Here is a 19,317-nt window from a genome sequence, read left to right on the forward strand (position 1 = left end):
GAGTGTATACTGTATGCTTCCATTTATATAAAGGTCAAGAACAGGCAAAACTACTCTGTGGGGTTAGAAGTCAGGATAGTGGTTATGAGAGGAGAGTGGGAGAGCTGGCAGCACTGGCTTGTTGGGAAAGGGGTATGTATATGTTTATATATATTTGCCTGTATTTATGAAATTGTTAGTAACACCTGTCTGTAACACGTAAATAGGATAGGTAGAATACTTTTTCAACTTCTGAACTTTGAAACCCTTTGAAAGTCACTGGTAATTTTCTACCACAAACCTTTTTATTAATACTACTTAATAACTTTCAGTTAGATACCTACAATGACCTTTACTTGTACGCTATTTCACTACTTGGTTATATTTTCATTATAAAAAGAAATTTAGTCTAGTTCCTTGGTCTCTTTCTCCAGGGTTAGAATTTTAGTCTCTATATTGTAAAATTTCTTTTAAAAAATTACCCTACTCAGTTTTTCACAATAGACAGTTATACAAAGTTTAATACAGTCATTATCTTTTACACATTTGAAAAAAGTAACTTGTTTTAATTTATAAAAGAAAATAGGCTATAGAATATTAATCTCTGTGAAACAATAAGACAAGTGTATGAAAATTATTTTACAGCTACTTTTTCATGGCTGTTGACCTACTGGAACAAGAGCAAAACCTGCATTAGATGAGTGGTCATAAGATTCTCCATAAGTTGATGTCCAATAATAATGCTTTTTAAGGCCATTGGAGACTTCTGCAAGATATACACGTCCATCTACCACAAATGGCTCCACATCTGTATTGTCTGGTTTTAGACAACCCATTTGAATTAAGTCTGAATATGCCTAGGATTTTTAGGAAAAAAACTATATCATTAAGAAAAAATGTATTCAATTTACAGTGCTTACGGAAATTTAAATATTCAAATTAGCTGTGCTAATTTGTAGTTTAAAATAAAATATTCTGAATAACATTGCTGAATTTTAATATTTTCCAGGTATTGTAAATAGATTTTTATTCATTTAATTACACAGAATGAAATTATAATATTGCAAAACTTATTTCTAACTTTTAATGTATTAGACATGTTTTGTCATTTTGTGACTCCTAGAGTTGATTTTCTATACTACCAATTTTGTGGACCAAAGCTCCTATGGTCAAAATTTTCAAGTCCCACAGATGTTCATAAATTGGAATAGGTAGGGGGGCTCGGTAGGAGGCCTATTGTATACATTCTCAAAAATCTGCTGATAGCTAGTTACCCATTCCTCAGAAAAATTAAGGGAATCCCAGATTTGGACATACAATTATATAGAGTTCATGACCCCCCTGAATCTAATCTACAGATTTAGGCTAAAACAGACAATTCCATAGTATTGGATGCGGACCTATTAATTATTTCTTCATTGTAGAATTTTTATACTTTTTTTTTTTTTTTGAGACAGAGTCTTGCTCTGTCGCCAAGCTGGAGTGCAGTGGCACGATCTCGGCTCACTGCAACCCCTGCCTCCTGGGTTCAAGAGATTCTCCTGCCTCAGCCTCCCGAATAGCTGGGACTACAGGCCCAGCGCACCACCACACCCAGCTAATTTTTGTACTTTTAGTAGAGATGGGGTTTCACCATGTTGGCCAGGATGGTCTCAATCTCTTGACCTCGTGATCCCCCCGCCTTAGCCTCCCAAAGTGCTGGGATTACAGGCATGAGCCACGATCCTTAGTATCTATGTAACAGAGTCATACAAATACGTTGAACTGGTTTGTCAGTAAGGTTGGCAATATGGAGAAAGATGGAAATTTAGACATTAAAAGATTTAAAAGTCAAGTTGGTTTTTGCTTTAGCTTGTCATTCATCATTAGTTCCAGTTCCAGACTCAACTTATTCAGCTACTGATGTGTAGAACCTAAAGAATTATGGATGTTTTTCTAAAAGTAAGGGTTGGTTTTTTTGGGAGGGTGGTTTAGACAACACTCTATGTTTTATTACTCTTTTTAGTGGTGGAATTTTTGTTAGTCCTTTTGCAAATTTTGAGAATTTTAACATCTACTTTTTCCCCCTCGTTCTTTCCAAATGAAAACTGTTACCATTATTTCTGTTTTGAAAGTAGTATCAAAGGCTGTCTGTATTTATGTGAGCAACATGCCAAATATTTTGATAGCTTGTACTCTATCTCTCCCATTCCATATTTTGGTATAATTATTAGGGAGCAGATCAGAAATTTTGCTACATCTGATCAATAATTATGATTTTTCTTAACCTTAGAGGAATTAGAACTGTGTCATTCAGTGATGTGTAATACTAATACATAGTTTTAATATCTTTGGTTATTTGAACCACCAAACTCTCTAGTAGTTAATTTTAAGACTTATGTTAATTATCAAAACTGCAGTGTCTCACTGTGTAACCATTTCTGAGGCACCTGTAAATAATATCTGATGTTACAGAGATGATCCCAGAAAAAGCCTTCAGTGAAGGAAAAAACTTAAAACTTACTATACACGTAGCCTCATCAAATTTGTTTCCCCAAATGTAGATATGAGAGAAAGTGAGATTTGTTTTCATTGATTGTGAAAGTGCAACAAGTCCTTCTCCCTCTATGTTGTTGCTGACTACTGACAACCTGAAACCAATAATTCCACAAGGAAAGAATACAAAAATTAGCAACATTTATTACAAACACTTTCTTGTGTAGTCTTAGCATTATTCTTCAGTATGTTGTAATGTAGTGGTAAAAATACTGACCATTTAATTCCTAAAATCCAAGAAACTTAGTTTTCTAATTAGATCCTTAAGGTACTTAGTAGAGCTAACTACATTTTGAAAGTCTTCTGTTTTATATTATTCAGTAAATGTTTGGGTGGATAGCAGATATATTTTTCTGGATAAATGCATCCAAGTATTTTATTCTTTAGTTCATTCTTACTTTTAAAAGTCTTGATCATATTGAATGCTTCTGAGTTTTCTATTAGAATTCAGGATAAGTAATATAAGCAATGCAAATTTTCTCATTAATTTGAAGGAATCGTTAATAGAATCAGTCTAATTGTAAAAGACATTACATTTGAAAAATAGAAATGTAAATGTTTACTGTAACTTAATACTATGTCAGTTTAGAAGCTGAGTTTTCATATTTCATTATAATCTTAAGAGTTAAGGGGATTGAGGTTAGTATTTAAAAATTTGCTTTTCTGTTATTTTGATTAAATATAAAACCATACTAACGCTTTAAGACTCCTGTTGTGTGAAGTAAGAGTTTCACTGAGATAGTTTGCGCCTGCATTTTCTATTCTGTTAAAGGAAAGATCTATTACTTCCAGGGTAGTGTTGCTTTTCAGTACATCAGCCAAATACACCATTCCATCATGAGTTATTTTGTTGCTGGCAAAGGAAAAATAGTTATATTTGAAAATATGAAATAGTGTTTTTATTCATAGTGATAAGATGCTTGAAAACTTAAACAGTACTTTCTGTTTTAGTAAAGGTTTATTTTAACCACTTGATTTCCAAGAAAGTTAATGAAAATTCACCATAAAATATTGCTTTCATTCTTGTTTACACAACTAAATTGCTCATTTATGTTACTAAAAGATAGCAGTATTAAATATTAAAGCTTAGGACAAAGGATTGACAATTGGTTGCAGTTTCTAATCATTGGAAATAATGTCTAACAACGTATCCCAAGTACCATGAATATTTATATAGATTATTCCCATTATTTAACTTTGAATTATTAATGTGTAAATTATCACTTACCAGCTGACATCAAGGTAGCGCAGGCTACTGTTCAGATACAGTGCATCACATAACTGTTGTATACCACTGTTTTTTATATCATGCTTACACATGTGTAGTGCAACAAGACAGTGATTTTCTTTCAACATGCGGCCTACATGGACTGTAGACTCTTCCTAAAAGTGGATAAAATCTTATTTCTAAAATATAATTTTGAAGTAGTACATGTTTATTTCAGACATATGCTGTTATTTAAATTAGCTTTTTAAAAAGATTATATTGGTTAAAACTGTTAGTCCACAATTTGCATTTGTTTGGTCTATCTTTAAAAAATTATCTTTGCCACAAATGATATTTTTTACCTTCTCAGAAGGTAAAATATAGTCACTATATTTTACAAGTGCCTGCTACCTAAGTGATGTAAAAGAGGCTGGTTAATTTGGTTTTTTAAAAAAACAATAATCAGTCATTTCGAAAGGAAAAAAAAATTGGTCCCATCATGTATTGAGCATGTAATCCATCTTTCAAGTCTCTAAACCTTTCTTATACCTTCCATATGTTCCTGAACTTTGCTCTTGATCTCTACTCTTGATGGTTTTCAGACAAAATACAAAGACATTTCCCAATCTTTATTTTATATTAAGAATACACTCATTAACCCTGTGATATATCTGATCCTTCCCTTTATATTCATCTCAAATTCCTAAGAGGTTTTATTCTTATTTTCTGATCATCAGAAGACTTTTTTTTAAGTTCCACAATCTAGCTACTTCTAGGTAAAAGATACATGGCATCAATGAAGATTTGAATACCAGGCATTTTAAGTTTTTAGTAAAATCAAAGCATATTTTCAAATGAATGGCCCAAAGTATTTTGTGACAAGAAGTACTCTTGCATGATTGCTGTATAACATAATAAGTTTTTTAGTCACTGGAAATGCTGATGATGAACACAGATAACTATATGTGTTCTTGTTATATATAAAGGTACTTTGAAAAAAACTTTAAATGAAACCACATAGCAATAGCAGAAAGTACATGAGCTTTATAAAAATCAAGTCTGTCAGATACTAGCTCTACCTTTTACTGGCTATATGACTTTGGGCAAATATTTTCATCTAGCTGAGTCTCAGTTTCCATTTTAGTAAAGTAGCTGAAATTATGCTTCCCTCACAGAAATAAGTTAACTAATAAAAGGTACCTAGCACAAAATAAGTGTTCCATAAGCAGCCTACAAAGCATTTATTATTGTTCAATATTCTGTAATTCTGTATTTGCTGAAATTGCTTTGACACTGAAAAGATACACCCAAAGGAATGCTATGTAGACTAGGATCTTTAAAAATGCACGCCAACCATGCTAAAGGGATGCTATGTAGTCTAGGAACGTAAAAAAATGCAAACCAACCACTTAGGGGGTTCCACTATTGCTCTTCCTAGTGCCAGGCACAGAGGACAAACTCAGTACGTTTTTGTGTTTGGGCCTTGATTGCAGTTTTAGGCTACAACGCTTGAAAGCAGGAGTATCCTAATTAAGGGAGGAACTATTGTCAGAAATAGTAAAGGGTTTTAGCCCCATTCACTGAGTTTGTGACTTGATTTGTCTAGAGTGGCACCTGGCATCAGTATTTTTCAAGCTCCCCGGATAATGCCAATGAGCATTAAAGGTGAAGTCCAACATCTTAACAGCTTTTTGTTATCCCATTCCTCCACGGTAATAAAACAGTAAAACCCGTACATGGAATAGATTTGCAGGTTTGTATTTGGGAACAGCAATTTAAGAGCAGAATAGTACCCTTGGGGATAGAGAAGGTAGTGGCTGTCCTGGAGAAGAACAAAACAGACTAGCACCTAGCTGGCTGCCAGAAGCACCAAGCTGAGAGCAACAAGGGGGCCTGGGCTTTTAATAATAAGCATCCTCAGGTGGATTTAGGAATGACACCACTCAACATATTTTAAAAAGGGATCATGCTTATAATGTGATCTCCTATATATAAACATATTTCCACAGAGATAAAATCCAGAAATGTATTTAGCCCTCGAATCTCCTGTCATGTCCTCAATCTGAGAACCTCCCTACCACACTCACCTCCCCTGCTTTGATTCTGATTACCCTCCTTATGTCCCCATGGCACCCCGGGCATATCACTCTCCAGACTTGTCAAGCTCCCTCCACCTAGATGGAAAACTCACTGAAGACAAGTGCTATGTAATTTATTTGACTTTAATACCTCTAGCACCTCGCTAGCATTGTGTCTTGTTTAAGGTTGCATTCAAATATTCATGGTGTGAATGAATCATGAGTGAAGCAATTCACTGCATGCCTACTTTGAGCTGTATTTTGCTAGTCTTTTAAGTATTTTTAAAATAGGAATCTATTTGAAGATTCTGAGTGTCTTGTTGAACAGATTGGATTTACGTACATGAAACAACGTGATGTAAAACCACAAAAATTCTGGTACCAAAAAGTGCAGCGATAACTCAAAGGGAGAGATCTATGTAGGCAAAGAATGTAAAATACACTTCTGAATATGAGAATACTACTTTAAAAATATCATTAATTCTCAGTGATTCATACTAAGGGGGAACAATGAAGTAGATAATTTTAAATTATCTAAAGTGCTTTAATCATTTAAAAAGTTCAGAGTTTGGCTGGGCATGGTAGCTGATGCCTGTCATCCCAGCACTTTGGGAGGCCAAGGCAGGCAGATAGCTTGAGCTCAGGAGTTCAAGACCAGCCTGGGCAACATGACAAAACCCTGTCTTTACCAAAAATACAAAAAAATTTAGGTGGGCATGGTGGTGCATACCTGTGGTCCCAGCCACTCAGGAAGCTGAGGTGGGAGGATCACTTGAGGCCAGGAGGTGGAGGCTGCCGTGAGCCGATATCATGCCACCGCACTCCAGCCTGGGTGACAGAGTGAGACCTCATCTCAAAAAAGAAAAATAAAGTTGAGAATTCAAACACTGACATTGATTGATTGATTGATTGATTGATTGATTGAGATGAAGATGAAGTCTCGCTCTGTCGCCCACGCTGGAGTGCAGTGGTGCAATCTCGGCTCACTGCAACCTCTGCTTCCTGGGTTCAAGCGATTCTCCTGCCTCAGCCTCCCAAGTAGCTGGGATTACAGGCACCTGCCACCATGCCTGGCTAATTTTTGTACTTTTAGTAGAGACTGGATTTTGCCATGTTGGCCAGGCTGGTCTCAAACTCCTGACCTCAGGTGATCTGCCTGCCTCAGCCTCCCAAAGTGCTGGGATTACAGACGTGAGCCACCGTGCCCGGCCAAACATTAAATTTTAAACATTGAACTTTATAAAGTGCTTTGACCATTTACTTTTCCTAATAGTTAGATATATGTTTTTGTTTATACCAATAATAACATGAGTTCTTATTCTCTAGCTGTTTACAAGTGATAGGAGAAGAAAGCCACCCAGAAGGAGAAAGAAGTCATGAAAGTAGGAACCACATTTTTACTCATCTTTCTGTCTCCAGCAAGCAGCTTACTGCTTTTCATACACATTTTGCTTTTATTACTCATGATTTCAAAGGTGTAATGGTTCAGCCACATCAATGTAACAAACAGTTCACACTGGGCTCTTATAGTCTGGCCTTTAAAACCTTCACTATTTATGCTTTCATCTTAACTACTTTGACCCTCACAGGTTTACTCACTAAGAACTTGAGTTTCAAGAGAAAAGATGACATGTTTGCTGCTTAAACAAGCAATATCTAAAAGCATATTTAGTTATAAACGTCTTACCAAGAATTGATATAATTTTCATTTAAACATTTTTATAAATAGTAGTTTACAAGATATAGTAAGTACATCTCTAAAAATACAGTGTATTCATGTACCTTGACATAAACTTGTAGTAGTACCTTAGTTTTATTCATGTTGTTATATTAACTACCATCACTTTGAATACATACCTGTTCACTGTACAGTATAGGTCGGTTTAGGTTTATTGCCTTAATTGCTTGGTTTTGAGTTAGTACTGTAGCAAATGCTATCACACTTTGCATTCCCTAAAAACAGGTAAATTCATTAAGGAAACAGACAAAGTATATAATAATCTCGCTACATAAATATTTCAAGATCAGCTATCTGCATTCTGATAAAATTGTTTTTAAAATTTAAGCATTCCTTGGACTTTGAATTGTAAGTTGATCAAATTCAAAAATGAATTGTTACTGTATTCTTCTCTCCTGGCCCTAAAATCTATCTAAAACATGGCATGGGGAGTTTCTTAATGTTTCAGTGTCCATTTCCTGGGTGTTTCCCTCTAGGTTTTTTTTCCTCACCCCTCAAGCTTCTATGTGGATCCCAGCTAGAGCTCATACTACTTATCCAACACACATCATTGTGCAAGCACTCTTTTATATTCATACTAGTACTTTTAAGTGTGTGTGCGGTGGGAAAAGGTTACCAATCACATTTTTCACAGATCCCATAGGCCTCTCTTGCTCTATCTGACTGGAAGGGCCTAGTCTCCCCATATCCGTGATGGACACCACCATGTACACCCAGCTGGTATGCCGGAAACCATGGGCTTCCTCTCACTCTGCCATTCCTCTTACCTTCCCATCCAGTTGATCACTAAGACTTACAGATTCTGCTGCCTCCAAAAGATGTCTCAAATTAGTCTGTTCCTGTCCATCTCTGTGGCCACCACCCCAGCCCAAGTCCTCCTCACCTCTCACCTGGACTACTAAGTGGTCAGATGGCTTCTTCTTGCCACCCTTTACTTCTGCACAGAGAAACCAGTGATCTAAAACCACCAATCAGATCATTACCCCTCAGAGCTTTTCCAGATTTCCATGATTTGCTTTTTCCATGATTTTCATTTATAATACAACCCCCACTTCTTCCCCTTACCTGTGACCCACAACCCACACAACTTTGCCATATCTGGCCTCCATAAGCTTCTCTACTTTTACTTCAAGGCACTCTTAACTTTGTCTGCTCAGCCATTCTGACTTCTCAGTTCTTAAAACCTGTGACACTTGCTATTTTATTATTCATGTACCTCCCTCGTGATTTTTGCCATATCTCAGTATGCAAAATATTTAACACTATTTTTGTTTTTATTTATTTATTTTTTGAGATAGGGTCTCACTCTGTCGCCCAGGCTGGAGTGCAGTGGCACACTCGGCTCACTGCAGCCTTGACCTGCTGGGTTCAAGCAATCCTCCCACCTCAGCCTCCCTAGTAGCTGGCATGCAACACCATGCGTGGCTAAATTTTGTATTTTTTGTAGAGACGGTATTTTCCCATGTTGCTGAGGCTGGTCTCAAACTCCTGGGCTCAGGCAATCTGCCTGCCTTGGCCTCCCAAAGTACTGGGATTACAGGCGTGAGCCACCACGCCCAAACTTACTTTACACCATTTACTTAATACTTTCCCATTAAATCAACTCACTTTTTCAATTATATTTATTTTAAAATAAAACTTTGTATCACTGCTGTAAATGGAAAACCATAATCCCTTGAAACAAACAGAAAGCATCTGTAAAAATAAATATATGAGTATGAAAATTACCTCACTCTGCACCAAGAATGCTACCCATGCCACACTTAGGGAAGCACTATCTTAATGTCTGTGCATGCTGGTGCTCTGCCTGGAAGGTTCTGACATGGACACTCTCCATGAGTTTTTTCTCATCCTTCATAACTCGTAAATATTACCTTAGTAATATAAGTCTTAGGCAACCCTCCTGTAGCAGAATTACTTCTCCCCATTATCAGAGTACTCAGTCATTTTTGTAGCACTTTCCTCTACTTCTTCATTGGTGTTTCCCCAACTAAAATATAAGTTTCATAAGGGCAGAGGCAGAGGCCATGTGATTCACTGTTGTATCATTAGTGTCCAGCACAATGACTGGTATGTGGAGATGATAAGTACCGAATTAATGTTTTCCCAGAACCACACTGGCTGCATCTACCACCTTAAAAAGTTAATCTTGGCCAGGCGCTGTGGCTCACTCCTGTAATCCCAGCACTTTGGGAGGCCGAGGCAGGTGGATCACCTGAGGTCGGGAGTTTGAGACCAGCCTAGCCAACATCATGAAACCCCGTCTCTACTAAAAATACAAAAAAAAATTAGCTGGGCGTGGTGGCAGGCACCTGTAATCCCAGCTACTCAGGAGGCTGAGGCAGGAGAATTGTTTGAACCCGGGAGGTGGAGGTTGCAGTGAGCCGAGATCACGCCATTGCACTCCAGCCTGGGTGACAAGAGTGAGACTCTGTCTCCAAAAAAAAAAAAAGTTAATCCTTCAGAATCTATTATACCAGAGAGCCCCCTGGCCCATCTTATTTTCATGTCACATTGATTAACCTGAGGCTATACAACAGGTTCCCAAGAGTAGGCCTAAAGATTTGAAAGCATGTCAGAGAAAGTGAAGCCTGGAATTTGAAGACATGCAAAAAAACACATTTTTCATTATCAGGCCAGGTGAAGGTTCAAAGCGACTTTTATCTTTTTTAATAATTTTTAGAGACAGGGTCTTACCATGTTGCCCATGCTGGAGTACAGTGGATGTTCACAGGCACGGTTGTAGTGAACTGTAACCTCAAACTCCTGGGCTCAAGAGATTCTCCCACCTCAGCCTCCTGAATAGCTGGGACTACAGGTGCATGTCATGTCGCCCAGCTTCAGAGCAGCTTTTAGCATCATCATTTTAAGTTTTTGTGCTACAATATAAGTAACTACTAAAAAGTATTTTATTTTTGTTTTGAGTCAGAGTCTCACTCTGTCGCCCAGGGGCTGGAGTGCAACTCACTGCAGCCTCCACCTCCTGGTTCAAGCAATTCTCCTGCCTCAGCCTCCTGAGTAACTGGGATTACAGGCTTCCGCCACCAGGCCCCGACTAATTTTTGTATTTTTAGTAGAGACGGGGTTTCACCATGTTGGCCAGGCTGGTCTTGGACTCCTCACCTCGGGTGATCCACCTGCCTCAGCCTCCCAAAGTGCTGGGATTATAGGCGTGAGCCACTGCAGCCTAAAATGTATTTTCAAAAGTAAAAAATTATATGAATAAAGTAATATTTGTTTAATTAAAGTGAACATGATCTTTTTCTAAAAATTCCATACAGTTTAAGATGAGTTATATAGATGGAAGTTTAGGAATATTTTTATTAAGTATTTTTCTATGTTATTTACTATAGTCTGATTTTATTAATAATCTGCACTATTATGTCTAGGGGAAAAACACCTTTTCTCTGATATTAGACATAAGAGGCAAAATTAATCATTCATAAGACTCTGATTTAGCTGTTCTCTAATGACCCACTATCTGGATGATTTTCTCATAACCAGTTTACTCACCAGATCACAGTCACCCAGATCTAATTTCTCTAATGATGAATTAATTTGCAGCATTGCAGCAAAAAACATTCCACCTTTATTTTCAATTTTGTTTCCAGTCATTCTTAGGTATTTCAGAGTCCGATTCTTCTGAAAAGGAAAAAAAACTTATTTAATAATTGTTAATCCACAGAATTCTATATATTACATGAATTAGGAGACTGTATTACTATTTGCAGACTCCAATTTTCATGGAGCTAGAACACGATATATATTTTTTTTGAGACAGAGTCTCGCTCTGTCGCCCAGGCTGGAGTGCAGTGGTGTGATCTCGACTCAATGCAAACTCCACCTCCTGGGTTCACAGCATTCTCCTGCCTCAGCCTCCCAAGTAGCTGGGACTATAGGCACCCACCACCACGCCTGGCTAATTTTTTTCTGTATTTTTGGTAGACATGGGGTTTCACCATGTTAGCCAGGATGGTCTCGATCTGACCTCGTGATCTGCCCAGCTCGGCCTCCCAAAGTGCTGGGATTACAGGCATGAGCCACCGCGCCCAGCCAGAAGAGGATATATACCTTAAAGGTAACATTCAATCTACCATAATAGATAAAAATCTAGTTTAACAGTTGAGTAGAAAGAATGCCCAAGAAACAGATGCCCAAGCAATAACCAGTAAATAAAACATATATTAATAAACTTTCACTGGAAAAATCTGTAAATTTATCTTAAGAAAATTATAGCACTTCACTTTTTTAAATTGAGGTGAAATTCACATAACATAAAACTGACCATTTTAAAGTATACAATTCAGTAGCATTTAGTACATTCACAATATTGCACAGTCATCACCTGTAGCTAGTTCCAAAACATTTTCATCATCCCCGAAGCCGGTCCTATACCATTAACCAGTCACTCCCCATTCCTCCTATATCACTTTTAAAGTAATATAATTTGATAAATATTTCACAAAATCACAGACATTTCATCATTCTAATGAGTAACTATTAGGACATATAATAGTGTAAATAATTATCACGATTCAAACCCCTCTGAGATCAGGAAGAAGAAAAGGATGTCCTCTCACCACTTCTATTTAACATTGTACTGGAGGTTCTAGCCAGAGAAATTAGCCAAGAAAAACAAAAAGAAAAACCATACAAATTGGAAATGAAGTGAAACTCTGTATGTGACACCATCTTGCATAGGGAAAATCCTAAGGATTCCACCAAAAAAACCTGTTAGAACTAACACAAGAGTTCAGCAACATAGCAGGACACAAGATCAATATACAAAAACAGCTGTATTTCCATATGCTAACAATGAACAACCTAAAAATGAAATTAAGAACAACAGTTCCACTTACAATAGCATAAAAAAAAGTTAGGAATAAATTTAACAAAAGAAATGTAAGATTTGCACATTGAAAACTACAGAGCATTGCTGAAAGAAATGAAAGGCCTTAAATAAATGAAACATCTTATGTTCGAGGTTTGGAAGACTTAAGATGGCAATACTCCCCAAGGTGATCTACAGATTTACTGTAATTCCTATTAAAATCCCAGCTGCTGGCCGGGTGAAGTGGCTCATGCCTGTAATCCCAGCACTTTGGGAGGCCGAGGTGGGCAGATAATCTGAGGTCGGGAGTTTGAGACTAGCCTGACCAGCGTGGAGAAACCCTGTCTCTACTAAAAGTACAAAATTAGCCAGGCATGGTGGTGCATGCCTATAATCCCAGCTACTTGGGAGGCTGAGGCAGGAGAATTGCTTGAACCTAGGAGGTGGAGGTTGTGGTGAGCCAAAATCGCGCCATTGCACTCCAGCCTGGGCAACAAGAGCAAAACTCCATCTCAAAAAAAAAAAAAAAAAAAACTCCCAGCTGCTTTTCTTGCAGAAATTGATTAACTGACCTAAAATTCATATGGAAATGCAAGGGACACAGAAGAGCCAACACAATCCTGAAAAAAGAACAAGGACACATTTCTTGATTTTAAAACCTACTACAAAGCTATAGTAATCAAGATAGTGTGGTACTGGCATAAGGATAGACATACAGATTAAAAGAATAGAATTGAGAGTACAGAAATAAACTCCTGTAATGATGGTTAGCTGATTTTTGGACAAAACTGTCAAGACAGTTCAATGGGAGAAAGAATAGTCTTTTAACAAATGGTGTTAGGACACGTGGATATACACATGCAAAAGAATAAAGTTGGATTCCTACCTCATACCATATTCAAAAATTAAAATGGATCAAAGAAAGAGCTAAAACTGTAAAACTCTTAAAAAAACATAAATCTTTGTGACTGGGTTTTCAAGATGAACCTTGAAAACATTAAGCCAGTCCCAAAAGGCCACATATTGTATGATTCTGTTTATATGAAATGTCCACAATAGGCAAATACATAGAGAGACGAAGTAGGTTAGTGACTGCCAGGGGCTGGAGAGCAGGGGGTAGAAAAGATGGAGAGGGATTGCTAATGAGTTTAGGGCTTTTCTTTTTGGGGTGATAAGAATGTTTTTAAAATAGTGATAGTAGTGATACTTGCACAGCCCTGTGAATATATTAATACTTAAAAAACCACTGAAGACTTTCAAAGGGTATATTTTATGTATGTGAGTTAAATCTTAGTAAAACTATGACTTCAAAAGTGTTCATGCAATGTCTACACTTGAATAAATTAAAGTATAATAAAAATATACATTCCTACAATATTAAAATAAGTTCACTTCAACATTGGACACTGTTGGTTCCAAGCTATCAGAAGTTAGAATTTCCAAATACAATGTTAGTTTGAAATACATAAATGCTTACATGTAGCACTTTAGCAATCAATTCTCCACCTTCGGGCCCAATATCATTAAACATGAGGTTTAAGTAAATGAGATTAAGTTGTTTCTATAAGAGAAAAGAAGCTATTACACATTATTATTATTGGAAATTGGTCAGTTTTACATACATGTATATACATATACACATACAGTATATACTTTATTTGAATAAGTGTTTTCCTCCAAAGAAAATCTTTATAACCAAGAAAAACTGTATCCTAGCAAAAACAACTACATTAAGGAAAAAAATCATTCTCATGTAATCAAAATATAATTACAATATAAATGAAAGAAAAAACTATATTTACCTTTGATCAATCTGAAAGATGTGTGGTGTATATATTTAATCATGGTGTACAAGTTTGCAAAAGATAACTTAGGAGCTCTAGCTACTGGCTCCATTGAGACCAAATCCACAATGGGTTTCCAGTATATTTCGAGTGTTCTAGCACAGAGTCAGGACCCTTGACATCAGGTAAAACTAGTGTTTTATGTGTGTGTCATTAGACTAATTGGTTTCATTGTAAATGGAACTAAGGACATTTTGTAGTAAAATAATACCTGAAGCAGTTTCGCAGCATAGTATGCACCAACATCACATAGAAGGTTATATCCAACATCCAAACCTGAAGCACAGATGAATAGAAGTGGATATTCATTATAAAGAATACTTAAAATCAGATCAATGAAAAGCAGGAGGTATTGATTCTTATGGAAACATACCATTAATATACAGACAATTCTTTAAAATTTTGGAAAGAATCCAAAAATCTTCACCTGTAACTCTTTCTACTGGCACTAAGCGATTGTTACCAGCAATGTTTAATGTGATTCCTGCTGCTAGCCTGTTAAAATACAAAAAAAAAAAAAAAAAAAAAAGATTTTGAAATAGAAACCCAGTAAAGAAGTAAAAGTATGTTTCCTTCATGTATAAATAGTCATATCACAGATATCATTTACTGGAAGCAAGCATATAATAAGTAGACTTATACAGTATATTTATACCAGGTAACTTAAAACTACTGAACATTCTGCAGACTGCAAAGTGCTTTAAAAGATTCCATATATTTAGCTCTCTCACACACACTCACACTCACACAAACAGTATCCCCACTTTATAGATAACACTGAAAACTTCAGTGATTTGCTTAGACTCACCCAGCTCAGGTTAGGCGTGGTGGTTCACGCCTGTAATCCCAGCACTTTGGGAGGCCAAGGCGGGCTGATCACCTGAGGTCAGAAGTTCGAGACCAGCCTGGCCAACATGGTGAAACCCTGTCTCTACTAAAAAATACAAAAATTAGCCGGGCATGGTGGCGAGCACCTGTAATCCCAGCTGCTCGGGAGGCCAAGGCAGGAGAATTGCTTGAACCCAGGAGGCTGAGTTTGCAGTGAGCCGAGATCACGCCACTGCACTCTAGCCTGGGCGACAGAGGGAGGCACCATCTCAGAAAAAAAAAAAAAAAAAAAAGATTCACCCTGCCCACAAACAAAAAAAAAAGATTCACCCCACCCACAGAAGTTAAAGATCACTCTGGAGCCCAAGCTTGGGTACTCCTGGTCTAGTGCTCTTTCCTGAATACTATACCACCTCTAAGACCTACTAACAGTGTTGCTCGTGTACTTACTTACCTGAATCAAATGGTATGTTCATTTTACCAAGCATTTTCAAATGGCTATAAAATCACTCAATATGTTAGGATTTTCACACACATGAATATAAGCAAACACTATTAATGTAATCAAGTATTTGTCTTTCTTACCCCTTTTTAATTTCTTCATCCACTTCTTGGAGTATATGCAATATAAAAGGATTAATTTTCTGGGATTTTTCCATACACAGATTAGAATAATGTTTCTGGAGACCAGATTCTGGAGATTCTGAAAAATATATGCATCCTCTATCACATATAAATTATTCTAGAAGCTTTAAAAAAAACCATAAAAACTACCTCTTTCAAATATATGAGTTGTATGTGTGTATAGTGGGGGTAGGGAAGAAAAGGAAACAGAATTAAGGTTAGAAAAAGAGAAGAGAAATAAAAATAATGAATGGGAGAGATAATTAAAATGCTGTTTGGAGAACTAGGGCCATTGAAGCACCCATTGAGGCTTGGCAGACACTGGCTCAAGTGAGCACCCTACGTTGGAAGTGACATAAAGGGAGAACTAAGCTCCATTATGTGCCAGGCCTGGTAGCTGAGGAAAATGACTTCCAAAGAAATTGTATATTTTGTCCAAAACCATGCAGCTAATAAAGGCAGAGTGCAGAATCAAACTGATTCCAAAACCTCTTTCCACTGTGCCCTAATGGGTTACAGGGACTCAAGGTTTCTTTTTTTTTTTTTTTTTTTTCAACTCAGTATCTCAGCATCCACGAGAGGAAAAGGTTTCTTAAAATAGCTTCACATAAAAACAATTTTATCTAATAACCTAACTCAAAAGGGATCTGATAAAGCACCTACTCCCACAAGCTTCTTGGATACCCTCTACACCATCCCAAGTTTGAATGTAACTGTCATTTCTTCATACCAAATCGAGGCCTGGCTCACAGAAGCTCTTCTCCTACCCAGCCTTCCATTTCCTCTTTCTAAAGGTGACTTTTCCCTAAGTTCTTAAGAAGACAGACACAAAGCAGGAGTTGAGATCTCCTTTCTGTTATACATGCAGATTTCCTTAATGACCTTGCTGTTCTCAGTAATACCTCAAAAGCATCTTCTGCAAGGCCTACATCTTCTGGGGTGGAAGTTATGCTGTTACTTTTCTTAGAAGTACAGGCCACTGTCTTTGTTTTCTATACATCTACCTTTTGTGGATGTCTTTTAAAAATTTGTGCACAGAGATCTCATTGCTCAACCAGCCTAGCTTTTTAGGAGCTGGCTTCTCTTCTAAGTCTCTACATCTCAGAAATGTTGTTTACTGAGTGTCCTTTGCACTCTGAAGAATAATGAGTTTGCTAAACGGATCTGCAGAACGAGATTTAACATGAGGAACATTACATTTCAGATGAAAGCAAACAAAATTTTCTTATAGTTTTTAATAACCTTTTTAAAAATAAATTTAATATACTTATTCCAGACAATTTGGAAATTTCTTTTTTTTTTTTTTTTGAGATAGGTTCTTGATCTGCCACCCAAGCTGGAGAGCAGGAGCGCAATCTCGGCTCACTGCAACCTCTGCCTCCCGGGTTCAAGCGATTCTCCTGCCTCAGCCTCCCGAGTAGCTGGGACTACAGGCACACACCACCACACCCAGCTATAAAGACGGGGTTTCACCATGTTGGCCAGGCTGGTCTCAAACTCCTGACCTCAAGTGATCAGCCTGCCTCAGCCTCCCAAAGTGCTGGGATTACAGGTGAGCCACTGAGCCCGACCGGAAATTTCTAACATTAAAAAAAAATACATGTTAATCTGCAATCCCACTGCCAAAGAACAACCACAATTGAGGTCTAGGCATACATACTTCCTATAGTTTTTCTTTTATATGCATATTAAGTATTTTTTAAACAAAATTGGAATCTTTGGATATAACTTTATATGCTGTTTTTTAAATTAACATTATATTGTAAGCAGTTTTCCCATGTCACTAGATATTCTCTGAAAAATTTAAATAGCATAATTTCTGTCATGTGGATAGATGTACGTATTAAAAAAAGCTTCACCTATTTTAGAAAATTTTCATGTATTTAAATGATATTGTAGCACAATATTTCCCAAACTGTATTTTGTGGAATATGCATGTTCTACAGGATGATCAAAGGTGTTCCAAATAGAATAGGTCTTATTATCAAGTAAGTCTGAGAAGTACTAAAATAAACAAAACTATACACAGACACAACACTTCTCAGGGCATTTAAAACGTGCACACTCTGCAAACTGTTAAGCTTGAGAATAGGGAGGATAAGAATGCTGCATTTCCGGCCGGGTGCGGTGGCTTACGCCTGTAATCCCAGCACTTTGGGAGGCCGAGGCGAGCGGATCACTTGAGGCCAGGAGTTCGAGACCAGCCTGGCCAATATGGTGAAACCCTATCTCTACCAAAAATACAAAAATTAGCTGGTGTGGTGGCGCATGCCTGTAGTCCCAGCTACTTCGGAGGCTGAGGCGACAGAATCGCTTGAATGCGGGAGGTGGAGGTTACAAGGTTGCAGTGGGCAGAGATCGCGCCACTGCACTCCAGCCTGGGCGACAGAGGAGACTCCATCTCAAAAACAAAACAAAACAAAAACCTCACTTGGAATGCAATCTAGAAAATGCTGCTTTAGCGTCCTCCCCAGGAAACAAAGCAAGTAGATCCCAAATAGAAGTTGGAGCTGGGCTCCCACTGGGCTTCTTTCTTCCCTACTGTCTTCCTTGGTATTAAGAGAAAAATTGCCCTGAGAATCTCCGAGGGCACAGAAATGTGTCAGACTACAATTCATTTTCGCGAAGGCATGAAGGAATCTTAGACTACGAGCTAAATACAGCTAAACAAAGTTATGGAAATATTCTTATTTAACAAGCTAGCCAGAGATTTACAGTATTTAAAAGTTTCTGCTACCCTTCCTTTGATTTAAAATTCACCTACGTATTTTGTATGCCAGGATTTTGTGGCACCAATGAATTTATTTCCTATATTGTATTCATATTAGAAGGAAAATAGCCTTCAAATTGTAAAGCAAAAACTAGGAAATAACCCAGCTACGCAGGAAAATGTCAAGAACCTAACCCAAATTTCATTTTTTCATCCACGCCTCTGGCAGCCACGTTTTAACAATTTCCAGAGAGAGGACTTACTTAGGAGGTAGATCCCTCCAAAACATGCTTTTCTATACTTAGCCAAGCACTGGGAAATCTAAGCGATAAGCATGAGTCAGAACGTGGGTGCCCTATCCAGAATCCGCAGTGTGTACATTTGAACAAGTTGTTATGCCAGCTTAAATTTCCTCTCATGCTAAAGGCAGAGCCTAACACTGCCCATCTCCTGGATGCAGTATTATTAAGCCAGCCTCCGAACACAGTTCCGTATCCACAAACAGACTTTAAAACCAGCATATAAAACGGAAATGGCGGGTAGGGGGTGGCCGTTCAGGGTAGGTGCTTAACTTGCTAATCATGGGCGCAGAAATATTTAAAACGGAGATAGTACAGAGGTGCAAAGTCAGAAACAGTATCAAGACCCTCATGCCCCCCTGTGACCTGCTCTCTGGGACTTTCACAAAAAGGGGGCTGAGAAGAGCCCCCCCGCCACCCCCTCCCGGAGACCCTGAGAGCACGGCGACAGACACCATCTGCACAACCTATCGCGCAAAGGGCGGACCCACGGGAACTCCTCTCCGTGGACTCCTCTCCTGCCCCCGGTCGCAAAGGGCGACCGGGGACTCTTCTCCTGCCCTCGTTTCTGGGCGCCCCAAACCTCTGGCCACAGCTGGGGTTCCCAGGGGCCCCCCTCCCGCCTCGACGCCTTGGGCTGGCGG

General features: G+C 37.9%; 1 protein-coding gene across 10 annotated transcripts in view, besides 7 other annotated features; it reads right to left on the minus strand.

Annotated features, from left to right (window-relative positions):
* Positions 1 to 19,317, minus strand: part of LRRC34 (leucine rich repeat containing 34) — a 19,902-nt gene continuing 585 nt past the window's right edge. For 2 of the 10 annotated variants that reach the window (NM_001370608.1, XM_011512442.3), the window contains exons 2-11: positions 15,626 to 15,743; positions 14,586 to 14,707; positions 14,424 to 14,488; positions 13,846 to 13,929; positions 11,051 to 11,176; positions 7,657 to 7,752; positions 3,743 to 3,897; positions 3,212 to 3,367; positions 2,483 to 2,609; positions 1 to 836 (exon numbers count right to left, since the gene is read on the minus strand). In NM_001370608.1, coding sequence (NP_001357537.1) covers positions 633 to 836; positions 2,483 to 2,609; positions 3,212 to 3,367; positions 3,743 to 3,897; positions 7,657 to 7,752; positions 11,051 to 11,176; positions 13,846 to 13,929; positions 14,424 to 14,488; positions 14,586 to 14,707; positions 15,626 to 15,699 — 1,209 coding nt within the window. In that variant the 5' untranslated portion in view covers positions 15,700 to 15,743 and the 3' untranslated portion in view covers positions 1 to 632. Of the gene's footprint in view, positions 3,368 to 3,742; positions 3,898 to 7,656; positions 7,753 to 11,050; positions 11,180 to 13,845; positions 13,930 to 14,423; positions 14,489 to 14,585; positions 14,708 to 15,625; positions 15,744 to 19,140; positions 19,217 to 19,317 lie in introns of those variants that run through there. The other 8 variants (NM_001363888.2, NM_001172779.2, NM_001370609.1 and 5 more) reach the window with 6 other exon arrangements.
* Positions 1,283 to 1,427: an enhancer, noted in NCBI's record as "145 bp 3:169512145 sequence used in MPRA reporter constructs". NCBI's record gives its function as "activates a minimal TATA-containing promoter with rs7621631 allelic activity by MPRAs in C283T melanocytes {active_cell/tissue: C283T}" and the evidence as "EXISTENCE:reporter gene assay evidence [ECO:0000049][PMID:36423637]".
* Position 1,355: a transcriptional cis regulatory region, noted in NCBI's record as "rs7621631 or 3:169512145 MPRA-significant variant associated with a GWAS melanoma risk locus at 3q26.2". NCBI's record gives its function as "allelic transcriptional activity by MPRAs in C283T melanocytes {active_cell/tissue: C283T}" and the evidence as "EXISTENCE:reporter gene assay evidence [ECO:0000049][PMID:36423637]".
* Positions 13,154 to 13,298: an enhancer, noted in NCBI's record as "145 bp 3:169524016 sequence used in MPRA reporter constructs". NCBI's record gives its function as "activates a minimal TATA-containing promoter with rs11711621 allelic activity by MPRAs in C283T melanocytes {active_cell/tissue: C283T}" and the evidence as "EXISTENCE:reporter gene assay evidence [ECO:0000049][PMID:36423637]".
* Position 13,226: a transcriptional cis regulatory region, noted in NCBI's record as "rs11711621 or 3:169524016 MPRA-significant variant associated with a GWAS melanoma risk locus at 3q26.2". NCBI's record gives its function as "allelic transcriptional activity by MPRAs in C283T melanocytes {active_cell/tissue: C283T}" and the evidence as "EXISTENCE:reporter gene assay evidence [ECO:0000049][PMID:36423637]".
* Positions 15,410 to 15,554: an enhancer, noted in NCBI's record as "145 bp 3:169526272 sequence used in MPRA reporter constructs". NCBI's record gives its function as "activates a minimal TATA-containing promoter with rs28626343 allelic activity by MPRAs in UACC903 melanoma cells {active_cell/tissue: UACC903}" and the evidence as "EXISTENCE:reporter gene assay evidence [ECO:0000049][PMID:36423637]".
* Position 15,482: a transcriptional cis regulatory region, noted in NCBI's record as "rs28626343 or 3:169526272 MPRA-significant variant associated with a GWAS melanoma risk locus at 3q26.2". NCBI's record gives its function as "allelic transcriptional activity by MPRAs in UACC903 melanoma cells {active_cell/tissue: UACC903}" and the evidence as "EXISTENCE:reporter gene assay evidence [ECO:0000049][PMID:36423637]".
* Positions 19,277 to 19,317: part of a silencer, noted in NCBI's record as "silent region_14876", that runs on past the window's edge. NCBI's record gives its function as "represses an Ori minimal core promoter by ATAC-STARR-seq in GM12878 lymphoblastoid cells {active_cell/tissue: GM12878}" and the evidence as "EXISTENCE:reporter gene assay evidence [ECO:0000049][PMID:35858748]".

Source organism: Homo sapiens, chromosome 3 (assembly GCF_000001405.40).
Source record: "Homo sapiens chromosome 3, GRCh38.p14 Primary Assembly".
In the NCBI taxonomy this organism is placed as follows: domain Eukaryota; kingdom Metazoa; phylum Chordata; class Mammalia; order Primates; family Hominidae; genus Homo; species Homo sapiens.